This window comes from Homo sapiens, chromosome 10 (genome assembly GCF_000001405.40).
Source record: "Homo sapiens chromosome 10, GRCh38.p14 Primary Assembly".
NCBI classification, from domain to species: Eukaryota; Metazoa; Chordata; class Mammalia; order Primates; family Hominidae; genus Homo; species Homo sapiens.
Window position 1 is genome coordinate 95,188,939 of NC_000010.11, and position 19,551 is coordinate 95,208,489.

The 19,551-nt window shown below is 40.3% G+C and overlaps 1 protein-coding gene and 1 long non-coding RNA gene across 4 annotated transcripts in view, besides 1 other annotated feature; one reads left to right on the top strand and one right to left on the bottom strand.

The window, feature by feature from the left end:
• Window positions 1-19,551, bottom strand: part of LOC107984257 (uncharacterized) — a 125,247-nt gene that overhangs the window by 85,407 nt on the left and 20,289 nt on the right. The window lies entirely within an intron of this gene.
• Window positions 5,300-19,551, top strand: part of ACSM6 (acyl-CoA synthetase medium chain family member 6) — a 34,692-nt gene continuing 20,440 nt past the window's right edge. For 2 of the 3 annotated variants that reach the window (NM_207321.3, XM_047424638.1), the window contains exons 1-4: window positions 5,300-5,365; window positions 5,527-5,739; window positions 13,047-13,257; window positions 18,270-18,477. In NM_207321.3, the coding sequence (NP_997204.2) occupies window positions 5,548-5,739; window positions 13,047-13,257; window positions 18,270-18,477 (611 nt within the window). In that variant the 5' untranslated portion in view covers window positions 5,300-5,365; window positions 5,527-5,547. Of the gene's footprint in view, window positions 5,740-13,046; window positions 13,258-18,269; window positions 18,478-19,551 lie in introns of all 3 variants that reach the window. The other variant, XM_047424639.1, reaches the window with a different exon arrangement.
• Window positions 13,212-13,506: a silencer, noted in NCBI's record as "fragment chr10:96961907-96962201 (GRCh37/hg19 assembly coordinates)". NCBI's record gives its function as "represses an EF-1alpha promoter that drives an FKBP-Casp9 reporter gene in an ReSE screen in HepG2 liver carcinoma cells {active_cell/tissue: HepG2}" and the evidence as "EXISTENCE:reporter gene assay evidence [ECO:0000049][PMID:32094911]".

Sequence of the window (19,551 nt, forward strand, 5' to 3'; positions counted from 1 at the left end):
GAAACTAATGCTTGAATGTGGATCAGTATACATTATGAGTTTACTGTCTCCTAAAATACCTGTAAAATCTAGTCTTTGTAAAACAGTATGTTTGTCTTTTTTCTGATGATAATATGTTCCAGAAATTTTATATCTTTTTTCATAAGAATTTTATAGCTGCTATTAATTGGTTTAGATGCAATACTATGAAACATGAAGGTGAATTCTTAGTGGTGATTATTTGGGATTGTGTTTCTAATAAGCTTCTATTTTCAGAGTTTTAATCGTATAATATACAAAAATCCTCTAGTATGAAGTCTTTTATATACTTAAAAATCTTACATTATGTGCCTTGTTTCAAAATGAAAGTGAATGTTGAACAAAAACTGAAATGGTATTAGAAGCATGGATTAATGGAATAATCCCAGTACAACTATAATAATGGCCACCTGTTTTTTTGTTACATCTATAATGTATTTCTATATTATTTTTTCAATATAAAATTTTGATCATTATTTGCATTTTTAAAATTTTTCCATTCTTTCATACTGGTTGGATGTATATTGGGATATTTCCCAAAGGATTTAACCCAGACAATTCATGTATGTTCAAAAGAAAACCTAGGCCCTCTTTTTGTTTCCCATCAAGTTACTAACATGAACACTAATTTATGTTTGAAATCAAAGCAAACTTGTAAAATAACCTTTTAGTAAAGACCTCAGTGAGTAAGACAACTGTATAATCTCAATTTTAAAACTTCAATGTACACATTCCTTCTATTAAGAAAGAAAGAAATCCTTTCTATCAAAAAAAAGCAATAGCATATATTTAGTAGTCAGTGGGCTTTTTTGCATACTGTTAGCGGTACCGTGAATTCTCACAGGCATCCTAAAAGGCAACTGAATAATAAAATATATCTTCGAAGGCTTTAAAATATTCATATCCTTTTTTCAGTATAGTTTCATCTCTGGCAATCTACCCTAGCAAAATAACCAGTTGTGCATTCAAAGAACTTATAGGAGGACATTATTTATTATTGTGAAAGTATACAATAATCTAAATTATACGTAGTAGGAGAATTATTAAATTATTTTACACCCTTAAGGTGGACTATTAGGCAGTTCTTAAAATTCACATGTTTCAAAGACATTTTAGGATACAGACACTAATCTTGAGCTAATGTCAGATAAAAGAAAGCAGAAACCAGGAGTTTCTATATAGTATAATTAAAAGTATATATGCTCTGCCCGTAGAGTGAAAAACTGCTACATAAAAATACCACAAAATACTGTAAACACCTATTCACAGGGACCAAGATAATTTTCCTTTCCTTTTCCCAATACATGTCTATTACCAAAATTTCTAGATTGATTATGTAGTATTATGCTCAGAAAATACCATTTTCTTTGAAAATGCAGATTATATAATGTTTTAAATCTTTGATTTTTACTCATTTGAATGCATTTTTGGTATAGAGTTTATCTTTGGACTTGGTATTACATTTTTCTGATTTCTTATCACTTTTAAAAAATGAAAATAGCTTATTAATTTTTAAGTTATATCAGTAATAGCCATCACCATAATCAAGATATGGGATATTTTCATAACCCTCAAAATGTACTCTTTGTCCCTCTTTGCAATCCAACTGCTTCTCCCCTGTTCCAGGCAACTAATTATCTGTTCTCTGTCACTATGGAATTCTTTTGCCTTTGATAAAATTTTACATAAATATGATACACTGTATTAGCAAAATGAAGAACAAAAACCATATGATCATCTCAGATGTAGAAAAAGCATTGACAAATTCAACATCCTTCACATTAAACACTCTCAACAAATTACATATAGAAGGTACATATATGTACCTCAAAATAATAAAACCCATATATACAAGCCTACAGCTAACATTACAGTCAACTAGCTTTTCCCTAAGATCAGGAGCAAGACAATAATGCCCACTCTCACCATTGCTATCAACATAACACTGTTAATTTTAACCAGAGCAACTAGGCAAGAAAAAGAAATACAAGGCCTCCAAATCAAAATGAAAGAAGTTAGATTGCCAATGTTTGTAGAAAACATGATCTTATATAGAGAAAACCTAAAGACTTCACCAAAAACCTGTTAGAACTAATAAACCAATTCAGTAATGCTGCAGGAGATAAAACTAACATACAAAAATTAGTGGTGTTTCTATACACTAAAAACAAACTATCTGAAAAAGAAATCAAGGAAACCATTCCACTTACAAGAGCATGAAAAATAAATTAAGATATTTAGAAATAAATTTAACCACAGAGCTGAAGGACTTGTAAACTGAAAATCATAAAACATTTATAAAAGAAATAGAGATAGTTTTAGCAGGACAATGTACCTAGGATTTCTCAGTCACCTTCTCCATACAGCAAACCTAAAGGGAAACTGGTTACATTCCCATTTTACCCAAACCTATAATTTTGAATTGCCCCAAAGTAGCTACCATTAAGTTAGTAGGGAGGATTGGTGAAGCCCAGAAGCCAGTATATAGAAGATCATACTTTCCAGGCCTGCAAGCTATGTTTTGACAAAATATTTGATTATGTCTATTTACACATGGAATTTATCTAAGGAAAGTAGACCAGAAGCCAAATGCTTGAGGAAATTGTATGACAAAAAAAAATACTCGTAAGTCTGGACTTTCTGATACATAGACTAGTTTGACCCATAATAGAACTCCTGAGACCCCAGTTCTGTACCAGCATGAGGTGGGCTACAAAAGCCATGCTGTCCTCAAGAAGGGCATATTCACCAGTGCCACTTCAGATATGGCCAAAGAGGATCACAAACAAGAAATGGCTTTCCAGAAGGCAAGCCAAATATCGAGATGACAGCAAAGGTGAGATTGCCTCCCAGAAAGCAGAATTAGTACTTGCCAAGTGAGCTGAGAACCCAAACACTGCCAGGATGTATGCTTTCACCATTCCTGCCCAGCAGGATTTGACAACTGGGTATTGCTGGGCCCAAGTCAGCTGGGTAATGCTCATTTTTCTCTTTCCAGTCTTGGAGTTTTCCATGCAATTTTATGGTTCCCACTTCAGACCTAAAGAGTGGGTTGTTTGGAGAGTAGAGATAACTTATGTTTTAGTTTCTAGTTTGCCATATGGCAGGGACCCCATCCCTGTTGGTTGAAGAGAACTGAGCAATACCCTCCATCTTGAATTTTGAGTTAGATGTAGCAATTCTGTGAGACTTAGAGGTTATGCTTCTTGGAGAATATTCTATAAATGGGAAAACTGTTCCATGTTGTGTTCATGGATAGTCAATGAATAGACTGTGATGGAAAATGCTAGTTGTCTCTCAGTATTCATGCCCACATCTCTCTCATGCATATGGAATCTCCAGTTCTTAGTTGAGCATATAGGCACTCAGAATAAAGATCACAGTTCCCAGACTCTTTCTGAAGCCACATAACTTAAGTCTGCGCCAATGGAATATGAGCAGAGGTAATGTGTAAAAATTTCTAGTTATTCACCTAGGCAAGGGGAATGTTCTTCCCCTCACCACTCTCCCGTCCCACTGGATGGAATATGGACGTGATGGCAAGTTGTTTCAGAAATGCCCTAAAGATGGTGGAGCAACGTTACAGAAAGAATCTGGGTCCCTGAAAGGGTGAAGATACTAAACCAGTGTGATGGATGATTTTAGGTGTCAACTTGACTGGATTCAGAGATACCTAGATATCTGGTAAAGTATTCATTTCTTGATGTGCCTGTGAGGGTGCTTCTGAAGGATATTGGTGTGTGAGTAGGTGGATTGAGTGGGAAAGATCCACCCTCAATGTGGTAGGCGCCATCTTATTGGCTGAGGGCCTAGATGCAATGAAAAGCTGAGAAAGGGAAAATTTCTCTCTCTTTCCGTGTGTGTGTGTGTGTGTGTGTGTGTCTATCTACCTCTCCCCCTCCTGGAACTGGAACACCCTTATTCTCCTGCCCTTGGATATCAGAACTTCAGGTTCTCAGCCCTTCAGCCTCAAATTGAGAGTTAGGCCATTGGCTTCCCTGGTTCTAAAGATTTCAAACTTGGACTAAGCCACACTACCAACTTCTCTTGTTCTTCAGCTTACACCATAGGACTTCTCAGCCTCCATAATCACATGAGCTAATTCCCCTAGTAAGTCCCTCTCACATATCTGTATCTATATTCATCTTTATTTCTCTATTTCCTATTGGTTCTGTTTTTCTGGAGAACCCTGACTAATACAAACAGCTTTTCACTGCATATGCTCAGACTGTCAATTGAAGAAACAAATTTACTATTTTGTGTCTTTGTTGAAGCAGCCAAACTTATATCTAACCAATGCACCACAATAAGGAGTTTATTCATCTTAAAGGCAGCGTGATGTTTTAGGCAGTACTTGGACTAGATAATTTATTGGAATATTTTAGTTCTAATATTAGATATAGTTACAATGTTAATATCATCAAATTGAAACCATTAAATCTCAGATTTCTGGAATGCGAATAAGTGAACCCATCATCCAAAGCTTACATTATTTTACTCCCTCTGGCGACTGGAAACATGGATAGGAATTGTGATGAAGAACTTCAACCACCAGTAACCAAGTTACACCTCACACAGTTATAAATAAAGTTAAAATCTTATCAAAACAATAAATCTTCAATATTTTATTAAACAAATATTGTGACCTCTTTTAAATATATGTTATACACACCCCCTTTCAAATTTTAGTTTTGCTAATTTGAGGCTCCAAGGTGGACCCTCCCACCGCCCCCCGCTGAGGATCATGAGATCTGGCTCCCTACCTGATTGTTGCAAGACTTTCACCTACACTACCTTGAGTACGAGACTTTCACCTACACTACCTCGAGAGGCAATCCCTAGAGGGCCTTCGATGTGCCTATTTATTTAAAAAAAAAAAAAAAAAAAAAAAAAAGGCCTGTCATCTCAGTGGGTTAAAGAGGCAGGGTGTGGTTACCTCACCTGGCTGATGAGCAACCCCCTTCTCCCTTTCTGCAGTGCAGGATTTTGTAAGCAACAAAATCTTATTTAAACTCTGTGTCCATCATCTTTTCACCACACTTGGCACAGTAGTCTGTGACCTATTTCTCCTGACATCATATCAGAAAGCAAGGCACACCTGTTGCTTCAACTTAGCTCACAGCCCATAGATTTTATCTCCCAGAAGCAAAAGAGATTGCCTTTTAGGCTTGAGAGCCAATGAAAGTGAGCCAGGACTTAGTTTGTGCTGGCACCAAGGAAATGCCTTTTTCCCCAGAGCCGGCAACTAAACTATAAGAGGTAAGCAGTTCTCAGAGGAGACAGAAGGCAACAGCTCTACCATCCTCCAAACATCTGAAGCCCCCCATAGAAACTCCTCTTGGAATTGGTAAGTATCTGTGCTCATGGGCTTCTTCTCCAATGATCTGACTGTTGCTTGTACTCATAAGGAAATTGTTTGCCTTATGGATTCATTCTCAGCACTACAATCTCAGTGATTATCCCTCTGAGCTGCTCAATTACTCCCTGTCTTTTCCTCAATTTACCTAGGTGGTTCCCTGTCTGACCCAAATGCTAGGCCGATTTCAACCCTTCTCCTTGGTCCGGAGTTTCAGACTGGGATTTGAAGCCTGCTGCTATCCAAACCAAAAATGTGCTACTCAGACCATCAGACCCCCTGACTCCAGGTGCCTAGTCCAAGCAGTTTCTCAGAACTTTAATTTTGCAAAGGATGTGTTGGATCAGTGGTCCCAGCTGGAAAAGGTAAAACTTGTTGTTTTCTACCTTGGAAACTTTGGCCAAGGCCAGTTGGTAAAGCGTCCAAAGATCATGAGATTCATATCCCATCTATGGCTGGCACTAGAAAGTGCAAATTCAGAGAAAAGAAATTATAGCAAAATGACTAAGAACATAGGCTTGACAGCCAGATGGTTCTACATTGAAATCCTGGCTCTGCTGCTAAATAACCATGCAAACTTGGACAAGTTATTTGCCTTCTAGGACCTTAGTTTTGTTATCAGTAAAATTGAGATATTAATGGTGTGTTTTTCACAGTGTTGTCGAGAAGATTAAATGAGACAATCAATAAAAAGTGTTTAGCACAGGACTCAACACCCTGAAAACACTCAATAAAAGTTAGCTTTTATTATCACTAGTAATATTATTGTCACATAGATATGATTCTAATTAACCAACATTTTTGAGCATCTTCTAGCACATACAAAATTTTAGAAGCCAAACACTAAAGGAACTTACTGCGTAGTGTTTTTCTTTAAAGCAAATGATAGCCACAAAGTGCTGAAAAAGAAGTGCCAAAGGAAATAAGTATAAGTATGCCTCTGGATAATGGAATTTAGAAAGATTTGATAAAGGAGGTGGTATTTACTGCATCCTGAAGAATGAGAAGAATTTCAACAAAAAGACAAGGGAAAGACTGTCTAGGCAGGAACAACCACATGAATAGAGACATCATGGAAAGAAGGAAGAGTATTCAGGAACAGTTTGGCTAGGTATAGGGTCAGAGGGAAGAGTATTGAGTTATGAGGAGAAAACAGGCAGGAAGCAGTCTAATTTTGAAAGGCCCTGCTGTGTGGAGTGGACTTGCTTACTCTCTGGCTAGGTAACTCTGGAGCAAGTCATTTTAACTCTCTGAGCCTCATTTCCTCCCTCTGTCAAGTGGGGCTGGTGGTGCCCGCAGGAGAATCCAGTGCGTGTGGAGAGTGAGCAGCGAGAGTTATTTGCATGTGTAATATCTGATTGCCCCTCTATTCTCCTCCCCTCCCCAGGCCCCTTCCTGGCCCTCCCCACCTTCATCACCCGCTTTGGGAGGAGTAAGGAAAGTGGACAAAACAGTAATTCATTGTCTTTGTGCAAAATATACTTACTGCCTTTGGTGCATCATCTAGGGTTAGATAAGAGGGAAGACTTCTGTTTAGGAGACTTAATTTTTACCCATTTGGGCCAAAGAACAAAAATTCTGTAGAGCAAGGATTGTGAAAGCTCCTTGAAAAGGTTTGAGGCATGTATCCTGAAGGACTTTGGGGTGCTTTCATCTTTGCTGAGCTGTGCCCCCTCTTGGGGTGCCCTCCCCACCCATTCTGCCTTCCCAGCCCAGCCTGTGCTGCTTTCTCTCTCCTCTGCTTTTCTTAGCTTGTGTTCTACCACCAGGCACTATGTGTGAGTCCTGGGTCCCAGTAAGATTCTAGGGCTAGCGTTGTGCCTTTTATCTCTTTGTGCCCGCATGGCATCTGGCACCATGCAGAGCCTTGTTCCTTTGCTCAGCTCTTGATTAAGCATATGGATTACAGACAAAGGCCCAGCTGGGCCCTACCCAGCAGAAGCTTCCAGGCTGGGAGGCAAGACAGATGAGCAGTGATTGGGTGCCAAGGAATTCAGAGGGCTGCAGCTGTGAGCAAAGGCTTGGGCTCCAAAAGCCACACAGTCAGCCCAACTAAACATTGGTTGTCTGAAGTCACTTGGGGCATCAATCACAGGTGCCCAAAACGTCAGTCAGCAGGAACTTTACAAATCATCTGCTCCAACCCTTTATCATTTAAGAGCACTTCATCATAGAATTGTTAGAAAATACTGGTAAACATGAAAAAATTTTAATATGGAATATTACCCAAAGATAACCACTGGTAATTTTCATATATATTTCTTTTCTACTGATTTTTATAGATCATCCGATTTCACAAAAGTGGAGTCATTCTATATATAACTATTTGTAACCTGGAATCACACTTGTTACTTGACTTGTTACTTGCTGTTTTTCTCCTCCAAACACTATGCTGTGAAAGCACTATGCTGTGGAAATAACATGATGTAGAAACAATGCACTGTAGAAATAATATAATGTGGAAACAATATGATGTGGAAACTACCTTTCAACACCAATAAATATTCTACTTAATACTTTAATATCTCTATGTTTATAAAGTATTTCATTGAGTGTTGAACCAAGATGTATTTATTCTTTATTGTTACCCCTCTAAGTAGTTTACAAGTTTTTTTTTGCTATTGTAAGCAAGGCTGAAATGAATATCTTTGTGTATCTATATTCTTTTCTTCATTTACATTACCAGAAGTGAAATTACTCCATCAAATGCACTACACGAGCATTTGGAAAATACATTTCTGGATTGCCTTCTACAAAAAAGTGCCAATTCCCACACTCAATGGCATCGTGTGGTAGGGTGTGTTTCTTCATACATACATAAACTCTTGGTATTTTCATTGTTTTTCATTTGTACTAGTCTGTTCATCAGTAAATTCTATCATGAAGGGGTGGCCTGCCCCTCCACATCTGTGGGTATTTCTAGTCGGGTGGGACGAGAGACTGAGAAAAGAATTAAGACACAGAGACAAAGTATAGAGAAACAACAGTGGGCCCAGGGGACCGGCACTCAGCATACCAAGGACCTGCACCGGCACCGGTCTCTGAGTTCCCTCAGTTTTTATTGATTATTATCTTCATTATTTCAGCAAAAAGGAATGTAGTAGGAGGGCAGGGTGATAATAAGGAGAAGGTCAGCAACAAACATGTGAGCAATAGAATCTATGTCATAATTAAGTCAAGGGAAGGTACTATGCCTGGATGTGCACATAAGCCAGATTTATGTTTCTCTCCACCCAAACATCTCAGTGGAGTAAAGAATAACAAGGAAGCATTGCTGCAAACATGTCTCACCTCCCACCATAGGGCGGTTTTTCTCTCATCTCAGAATTGAACAAATGTACAATCGGGTTTTATACCGAGACATTCAGTTCCCAGGAGCAGGCAGGAGACAGTGGCCTTCCTCTATCTCAACTGCAAGAGGCTTTCCTCTTTTACTAATCCACCTCAGCACAGACCCTTTACGGGTGTCGGGCTGGGGGACAGTCAGGTCTTTCTCATCCCACGAGGCCATATTTCAGACTATCACATGGGGAGAAACCTTGGACGATACCCAGCTTTCAAGGGCAGAAGTCCCTGCGGCTTTCCGCAGTGCACTGTGCCCCTGGTTTATTGAGACTAGAGAATGGCGATGACTTTTACCAAGTATACTGCTTGTAAACATTTTGTTAACAAGGCACGTCCTGCACAACCCTAGATCCCTTAAACCTTGATTTCATACAACACATGTTTTTGTGAGCTCCAGGTTGGGTCAAAGTAGCTGGGGCAAAGTGGCTGGGGCAAAGCTACAAATTAACAACATCTCAGCAAAGCAATTGTCTAAAGTACAGGTCTTTTCCAAAATGGAGTCTCTTATGTCCTCCCTTTCTACATAGACACAGTAACAGTCTGATCTCTCTTTCTTTTCCCTACATATCACCCTAAAAAAAAAACCAGGAAGCCAAAGAATTTGGACCTGATGTGATGGGCTGTGGCAAACCACTAAAGGTGCTTGAGTGATGTGAGCAGAGTTCTTACTTGGGTCGCACAAAGATATTATAGAACAAAAATGAAAATTACAACCAGGCACAGTGGATCACGCCTGTAATCCCAGCACTTTGGGAGGCCGAGGCAGGTGAATTGCCTGAGCTCAGGAGTTCAAGACCAGCCTGGGCAACATGGTGAAACCCCATCTCTACTAAAGTACAAAAAATTAGCCTGGTGTGGCTGTGTGTGCCTGTAGTGCCAGGTACTTGGGAGTCTGAGGCAGGAGAATTGCTTGAACCCGGGAGGCAGAGGTTGCAGTGAGCTGAGATCATGCCACTGCACTCCAGCCTGGGCGACAGAGCAAGACTGTCTCAAAAAAAAAAAAAAAATTACTTCCATGGTCACATAAATAAAATTATCTCTGACGGCCTAGGCCTGAACTACATCAAAATGTGGTTGACAAGAAAATAAAAATTAATGGCAGGGGAGAGATATAGTTGTGTTTGTTGTTATTGGTCATGGGAGGAGAAGGGGTTGGGGAAGGCCCATCCCATCCCTGCCAATTCTCATTGTTATAATAAGAAACTCTATGGAAGAACATTCCATGCTCACGGGTAGGAAGAATCAATATCATGAAAATGGCCATACTGCCCAAGGTAATTTATAGAATCAATACCATCTCCATCAAGCTACCAAAGACTTTCTTCACAGAATTGGAAAAAACTACTTTAAAGTTCATATGGAACCAAAAAAGCCTGCATTGCCAAGTCAATCCTAAGCCAAAAGAACAAAGCTGGAGGCATCATGCTACCTGACTTCAAACTATACTACAAGGCTATAGTAACCAAAACAGCATGGTACTGGTACCAAAACAGAGATATAGATCAATGGAACAAAACAGAGCCCTCAGAAATAATGCCGCATATCTACAACTATCTGATCTTTGACAAACCTGACAAAAACAAGAAATGGAGAAAGGATTCCCTATTTAATAAATGGTGCTGGGAAAACTGGCTAGCCATATGTAGAAAGCTGAAACTGGATCCCTTCCTTATACCTTATACAAAAATTAATTCAAGATGGATTAAAGACTTAAATGTTAGACCTAAAACCATAAAAACCCTAGAAGAAAACCTAGGCAATTCCATTCAGGACATAGGCATGGGCAAGGACTTCATGTCTAAAACACCAAAAGCAATGGCAACAAAAGCCAAAATTGACAAATGGGATCTAATTAAACTAAAGAGCTTCTGCACAGCAAAAGAAACCACCATCAGAGTGAACAGGCAACCTACAGAATGGGAGAAAATTTTTGCAACCTACTCATCTGACAAAGGGCTAATATCCAGAATCTACAATGAACTCAAACAAATTCACAAGAAAAAAACAAACAACCCCATCAAAAAGTGGGCAAAGGATATGAACAGACACTTCTCAAAAGAAGACATTTATGCAGCCAACAGACACATGAAAAAATGCTCATCATCACCGGCCATCAGAGAAATGCAAATCAAAACCACAATGAGATACCATCTCACAGCAGTTAGAATGGTGATCATTAAAAAGTCAGGAAACAATAGGTGCTGGAGAGGATGTGGAGAAATAGGAACACTTTTACACTGTTGGTGGGACTGTAAACTAGTTCAGCCATTGTGGAAGTCAGTGTGGCCGTTCCTCAGGGATCTAGAACTAGAAATACTATTTGACCCAGCCATCCCATTACTGGGTATATACCCAAAGGATTATAAATCATGCTGCTATAAAGACACATGCACATGTATGTTTATTGAGGCACTATTCACAATAGCAAAGACTTGGAACCAAATGTCCAACAATGATAGACTGGATTTAGAAAATGTGGCACATAGACACCATGGAATACTATGCAGCCATAAAAAATGATGAGTTCATGTCCTTTGTAGGGACATGGATGAAGCTGGAAACCATCATTCTCAGCAAACTATCGCAAGGACAAAAAACCAAACACCACATGTTCTCACTCATAGGTGGGAATTGAACAATGAGCACACATGGACACAGGAAGGGGAACATCACACTCTGGGGACTGTTGTGGGGTGGGGGGAGGGGGGAGGGATAGCATTGGGTGATATACCTAATGCTGAATGACGAGTTAATGGGTGCCGCACACCAACATGGCACATGTATACACATGTAACAAACCTGCACATTGTACACATGTACCCTAAAACTTGAAGAAGAAGAAAAGAAGAAGAAGAGGAAGAGGAAGAATAGGAAGAAGAAGAAGATGAAAAGAAGAAGAAAGAAGAGGAAGAGGAAGAAGAAGATGAAGAAAGAAGAAGAAGAAGGAGAAGGAGAAGGAGAAGAAGAAGAAGACTCTAAACAGGTCAGAACAAAGTAGCAATTCTATGGGCTGCTCCAGGGTGGATGAGAAAAAGAGAAGAAAGGCAAGAGAAAGAGATAAAAGGAGGAAGAAAGTTGTAAAGGAAGAAAGAAGTTAAGTTCAGAAGGTAGGAGAGAAGGAAAGGAGGGATGGGGAAAGAGGCGAGAGATGGGGGAAAGAGATGAGAGAGAGAGAGGACAGAAAGGAGGAAAAAAGGAATAAAGGAGGGAAAGAAGGAAAAAAGGGAGAAAAGAGCCTTCCTTCCCTCCATCCTCAGGGAGAGAAGAGGACAAACCCGTGTTGTTAAGGAGGAGAAGGCTCAGCTAGAATGGAAATGCTTTGAAAGTTCTAGGTAACTTCATCCATGCATTCACTAAGAGGTATTGGAAATTAAATTCTTTCCCCTTCAAAACTCGTCCCACTGAAAAATAAGTTGCATTGGAAGACAGGTATATTTGAAGGCAGGAATAGAATCCTATCCGCTAGGAGGAGGGCACTCTTCTCTACTTACAGGATCATGCCCTGAGAAATCTTTTCTTAAAAAAATTTAGACTCAGGAGGTGCATGTGCAGGTTTGTTGCATGTATAGATGGCACAATGGTGAGGCTTGAGCTTCTAGTGTACTCATCACCCAAACAGTGACCATAGTACCAAATAGGTAATTTTGCAAACTTCACTCCCCTCCAGCCTCCCCAATGTCTATTATTTCCATCTTTATGTCCATATGTACCCACTGTTTAACTCCCACTTATAAGTGAAAACAGGCAGTATTTGATTTTCTGTTTCTGAGTTATTTCCCATAGGATAATGGCCTTCAGCTCCATCCATGTTGCTGCAAAAGACAGGATTTCATTCTTTTCCATGGCTGAGTAATATTCCATGTTGTATGTATACCACATTGTCTTTATCCAATCATCCACTGATGGACCCTTAGGTTGATTCCATCACTTTGCTATTGTGAATAGAGTGCTACCATAAACACATGAATGCAGGTGTCTTTTTTATATAATGATTTCTTTTCTTTTGGGTAGACACCCAGTAGTGGGATTTATGCCCAGAGAAATCTCTGCCATCCTGGGCAGGGCTGGTTTCACGTTACATGCTGAGTTCTCTCAGGAGGTTCTTCCCTAGGCTCATGCCTGACATTATGTTGAAACCTACCAGTACTGCCATGTCAGTAAACAGTAAATATTTCTGTGCCAGTTGAGAAACAGTAGCTCCCCCTAAGCCCAGGCATCCTAGCCTCTCAAGATCTAGCCACTTGAGGGTGCTGTCTGGCAACAGTGGCCTCCCATAGCCAATGTCCATGCTGACTAATATTCATATTTTAAACATCACCCTGCCTAGGACGGACTCAGAGGGCCTTACCCCGCCCTCTGGAAGGTTAGTGCCAAAGGAGAAGAGGACAAATGGAGCTTTGAAAGGATGACTCAACTCTCCAAGAAGGCCGCCAGCATCCTCTCAGACACCTGTGCCCTTAGCCATGGAGACCGGCTGATGATAATCTTGCCCCCAACACCTGAAGCCTACTGGATCTGCCTGGCCTGTGTGCGCTTGGGTGAGGCATGGGAGACGGACCCCAGGGGTTGGAGGCTTATGTGAATCCCAGCCTCAGTTATTCACAGAATGGAGATGTTAGAGGGATCTCTATCTGATGCCTGAATTCTTCCCACAGTGTGGGGGATCTTTAAACAGGCCTAGATTTGAACCCAGCTCCACCACTTACCACCTCTGTAAATTATGCCTCTCTGAATCTCAGTTTCCTTGTCTATTAAATATGGACAGTAATAGTCCATATTTATAGAACTGTTACGGTCCAGTCTTACAGAACTGTTGTGAAGAGTAAATAATCCACAGAGCGCTTAGCTCATAGGCTGTTTATCACCTCAAGGAACTGTAGACCTCTGTCCTAACATAGTCATCATCAAAACAACAGACAGAGCATGCACATCTTGCCCTCTCTGGGCCTCAGTTTCCCCATCTATAAAAAAGAGAATGTAGGGGTACTGGGTGCAGTGGCTCACACCTGTAATTCCAACACTTCGGGAGGCCAAGGCAGGCAGATTGTCTGAGCTTAGAAGTTTGAGACCAGCCTGGGAAACATGATGAAACCCCAACTCCACTAAAAAAAAACACAAAGCAGAAAAAAAAAATTAGCTGCATGTGGTGGCACACACCTGTAGTCCAGCTATTCAGGAGGCTGAGGGACAAGAATTGTTTAAACCTGGAAGGCGGAGGTTGCAGTGTGCTGAGATTGTGCCACTGCACTCCAGCCTGGGTGACAGAGCAAGGCTCTGTCTCAAAAAAAAAAAAAAAAAAAGACAGAGAAGGTAGGAATATCTCTAAAGCGTCCTCTACCTCAGTCTGTGACATGTTAGGAACTAGGCTGCACAGCAGGAGATGCGCAGAGGGCAAGTGAGTGAAGCTTCATCTGTATTTACAGCCACTCCCCATTGCTTGCATTACCACCTGAGCTCTGCCTCCTGTCAGATCAGAGGTGGCATTAGATTCTCATAGGAGCGCAAATCCTATTGTGAACTGTGCATGCGAGGAATCTGGGTTGTGCACCCCACATGAGAATTTAATGCCTGATCATCTGCCACTGTCTCCCATCACTCCCAGATGGGACTCTCTAGTTGCAGAAAAGCAAGCTCAGGGCTCCCATTGACTCTACATTATGATGAGTTGTATAATTATTTCAATATATATTACAATGTAATAATAATAGAAATAAAGTGCACAATAAATGTAATGCACTCGAATCATCCCAAAACCATCCTCTTGCCTCAGTCTGTGGAAAAATTGTCTCCCACAAAACCCAGGTGCCAAGAAGGTTGGGGACCACTGCTCTTCATCCAGTATTAGAGAGTCCTTGAGAGTCACCCTGAATGAGCTTGGGATCAGCCAGAATAGAGCTGCTCTTTGTGGATATCCCATCCATGCCCCTGAGGCTCAATCCTCCAACATAAACAGGAAATGCCTCAATCAAGAGCCCCTTCACATGTGAGAAGTGAAGGATACTGGAAAGGAGCCCACCCCCAATATCATTCCTCTTTATCTGCTATAGTACCTGACTTTCTATTCTTAGGATACAGGCATATATTTTTTGGTAGTTGGAAGGTGCGTATGAAAAACAAAGTACCCCTGAGATGGGCCAAACTCATTAGGAGTTGCCACAACTGGCCTACTGCCTTTGCCTGCTAACAGGGATGCTAGATTTAAAAAAAAAAAAAAAAAAAAAAAAACTGAAAAGTGATTCAAAGAGCAGGTGTCTTTGAGAATGCCAGCTGTCAGTTATGGGGAGCATACAGAAGAGAGGAAGGGAGTGAACCCTACCCTCAGGCCTATCCAGGCTCCCAGTGTTTCCCCAGTTCCCAATGGACTGAGTTATCCTGAGGGACAATTGATCCATGTCTGAGAAAGGACAGGGACCACTTCAGTCTGGGTCACCAGAAATTCTTCCTACCTGAGGCCAAGTTACGCAGAGTGATTTCCTTAGCCACATACCAGTCCAAAGCAGGGCTATCATTTTCACTCACAATAATTAAAATTGCTTATTGATGGTATAAGGCAAAATGAATGAAAACAAAATCGAAAACTCAGAACAGACCAAAGTATATGTAAGAATTTATCAGCCGGGCGCAGTGGCTACGCCTGTAATCCCAGCACTTTGGGAGGCCGAGGTGGGAGGATCACCTGAGGTGAGGAGTTCGGGACCAACCTGGCCAACATGGTGAAACCCCGTCTCTACTAAAAAAATACAAAAATTAGCCAGACGTGATGGTGGGCACCTGTAATCCCAGCTAATCCGGAGGCTGAGGCAGGAGAATCGCTTGAACCCGAGAGGTGGAGTTTATAGTCAGCCAAGATCACGCCACTGCACTCCAGCCTGGGTGCCAGAATGAGACTCTGTCTATTTAAAAAAATAATAATAATAATAATTTATCAGGTCTTTTCAAGCCATTAATGAAAGCATTGATTAGTTCTTAAATGATTTAAAGATAACTGTTTGAAAACGTTAAATGTCATAACTCTACCTCCAAATAATGTACCAAAATAAATTCAAATGAACCATTAAAAATTGAAATGTTAGAAAAGGACTTAAGTATTAGAAGAATATATAGGTGAGTACATAAACTCATGGAAAGGCTTTCTGAATATGACACCAGATACCCAAACAAAAAAGGAAAAAAAAGATGTACTACACTTAATGAAATTTTTAAAATTTCATTCATCAAAAAAATCACTATAATGTATAAGAAACATCTGTGTGGCCAACTTGGAGGAGGGACCAGGGTGCACTCCTCCCTTCTCCATATATGTGAGATCTGTCTGTGTGATTACATCTGATGTGCCCTTTTGGTGGCATCCAGAAAGCTGCACAGTGATGGCTCTAACAACACATGCATCTCTCCTAATGAGAGAGCTCTCAATTATTATAAATTACTCAACATGATAAAGTTAAATTGGCTTTTAAACTACGCTGACATTATCACAAGAAATTTCAACATTATATCTGTAAACAAAATGAAAAGCTGTTAGATTATTTTTTAGATATAGTTTCTACTATTATAAAGTTCTAGTATTTTTCTTAAACCACCACAAAAGAAATTTGAACACTGCCTTAGTCTGCTTGGGTTACTATAGCAAAATGCTATCAACTGAGTAACTCATATATAACAGAAATTTATTTCTCACAACTCTGGAGGCTGGGAAGTCCAAGATCAAGGCAGACGCAATGTCAGTGAGGGCCCACTTTCTGATTCAGAAATAGCTCCTTCTAGCTGTGTCCTCATATGATGGAAAGAATGAGGGATCTCTTGGGAGCCTATTTTATTAAGGCACTAATCCCATTCATGAGACCTCCACTCATGATCTGATCACCTTTCAAAGATCTCACCTCCATCACCTTGGAGTTTAGAATCTCAACATACAAATCTGGGTTGGAGGACACACAAATTCAGACCATGGCAAAGACAAATGCCAAAATCGAAAACATATTTGCAACACTTATGAAAGATAAGTGGTCAATGGCCTTAATGTAGAAAGAGTTCTTACTAATCAATAGGGAAAATAAATTAACATTACTTGGCACTCCTCTTCAAATGCTTCATCTAAGGGTGGGGGCACTTGAAAGTGTTTGCAGTTATCTAAAGAAAGATACTTCTTTGTGTCACCCACAATTGCACGGTTTCATATATATATACTCAATGCTAAAGGGTAACTTGATAGCTATAAGATGGCAATCAGTGATACTGAACAGGTCTTTTCCACTGTGTCCCTCGGCCTTCCCATCAGCCCAGTGAGTAACTCGAATTAGATGAACTCCCCATTCCATGCCAGATCCTGTTTCCTATGACTTTGTTTTGGAGATATAATTTATATACTATAAAATTCACCGTTTAAAAGTGTACAAATCCATGGTTTTTAGAATATTCACAAAGCTGGGCAACCATCACCACTGTCTATTTCTGGAAGATTTTCATCACCCCAAAAAGAAACCCATTAGCAGTCCCTCCCTATTCCCCGCTCTCTGCAAAACCTGGCAACCAATAATCTACTTCCTATCTTTGGATTTGCCTCTTCCAGATATTTCTTACAAATAGAATGCAACATCTAGCTTTTTGTCCCTGACTTCTTTCAGTTACCATAATGTTTTCAAGGTTCACCCATGTTATAGCATGTGTCAGTACTCCACTCTTTTTATGAATTAATAGTATTTCATTGTGTAAATATATATACTATATTTCATTTATCAGTTCATCAGCTGATAGATATTTAGGTTGTTTCCACATTTGGGCTATTACGAACAATGACATTTTATGATGCCCAAGAGATTTCAGTGTGAGAAACAGAAGATGAAGGTGCAGTATGTGGGAAAGGCCCACACCGGTAAAGCAGATCCTTTTCCAAAAATCAATAGGTCTGTAGTTGGGAGTGTAAGCATTACTGCAAGACAAGCAAGGTCATCACCAGTTAATCCTAGAAGTATTCTAGTTCTCTAAGCCTGAAAACTAAAAAGAAGCGTCTGTCAGAAGAGCCTCTGGCACACAGATGCAACCAGCGTATGCCAGTCTCATAGGAGGTCCACAATAGGTGTTCTATGGATGCAGAAGAATCTATAGAAACAGCCCAAGAAGAGAGGCAGGAAGGTCTTTTTGTTTTGTCTTTTCTCCAGTGCAAATCCAGAAATCCACAGCAAAAGCCATTCTCAAGCCATGAGAAAACAACAAAGAGGAAGTTTTCATAATCCCTTTGCATCACAGTTTCAAAATTAGGCTATATTTCAAGTAACTGGTGGTCTGACACTTAGCCATATAAACTCAGGACCTGATTGAGGTGAAAGGATAACAGCAACAGAGCCACAGATCACTGGATTGTTTCAGTGGGCTCAGTCTCCTGCCTGTCTCAGTTTTCCCCAGTCGCCATCGTGTTACTGACCCAATAGAGAAGAGAGACTCCTAAGAGAGAGGGTAACCCAGAGACCTCATCCATGCCTGCCAGAATGCTTGAGGAAAAATTCTCTACTCAAAAGATAAAAATGAAGCCTTCTTTTGTGGTTTTTTTCAGGAATCACCTTTGTGCCTGGGAGCCCCCAGCTGACTGCCAAGAAAATTCGCTATCAATTACGCATGTCTAAGGCCCAGTGCATTGTGGCTAATGAAGCTATGGCCCCAGTTGTAAACTCTGCCGTGTCCGACTGCCCCACCTTGAAAACCAAGCTCCTGGTGTCAGATAAGAGCTATGATGGGTGGTTGGATTTCAAGAAGTTGATTCAGTAAGTGGACACTGAATATGAGATGCTTAAATGAAGGAAATGTTTGACTTTGAAAGATGATGATATATGAGAAAGTGGTGTGAGTGGTCAGAATGAAAAGCTGAATGGCAATTTCTATGCAAGATTAGATGATGTATGAGAAGGTGGTGTGAGTGGTCAGAATGAAAAGCTGAATGGCAATTTCTAGTCCTGAAAAAAGCAGAGTAACCCCCAACACAAGCATCCCTGGTCTGACCTACAAGTTCCCAGTCTGAGTGAAAGTCTTATGTTCTGATTCATATGTAACCATTCGTTCTGAAAGGATAAAAAATTAGGTAATATAAATATAAACATATTACAAAAAACATAACAAAAAACTTATATATAGACTATATATAATGGAATACTATGAAGCCATAAAAAATGAAATCATGGTCGCACATGGTGGCTCATGCTTGCAATGTCAGCACTTCGGGAGGCTCATGCCTGTAATCCTAGCACTTTGGGAGGCCAAGGTGGGCAGATCACCTGACATCAGGAGTTCGAGACCAGCCTGGCCAACATGGTGAAACCCCGTCTCTACTAAAAGTACAAAAATTAGCTGGGTGTGGTGGCACACACCTATAATCCCAGCTACTCAGGAGGCTGAGGCAGGAGAATCGCTTGAACTCAGGAGGCTGAGGTTGCAGTGAGCCGAGATTACACCACTGCACTCCAGCCTGGGGGACAGAGTGAGACTCTGTCTCAAAAAAAAAAAAGAAATAATGTCTTTTGCAGCAACATGGATGGAACTGGAGGACATTATCTTATGTCAAATAACTCAGAAACAGAAAGTCAAATACCATATGTTCTCACTTATAAGTGGGAACTAAATAATGTGTACAAATGGACACAGAGTGTGGAATAATAGACACTGGAGACTCGGAAAGGTCAGAGGATGGGAGAGGATGAGGAATGAGAAATTACTTAATGGGTACAAGGTACACCATTTTGGTGATGGTTACACTGAAAACCCAGACTTCACCATATATATATGCAATATCCACGTAACAAAACTGCACTTGTTCCCCTTAAGTTTATACAAAAGTAAACCTC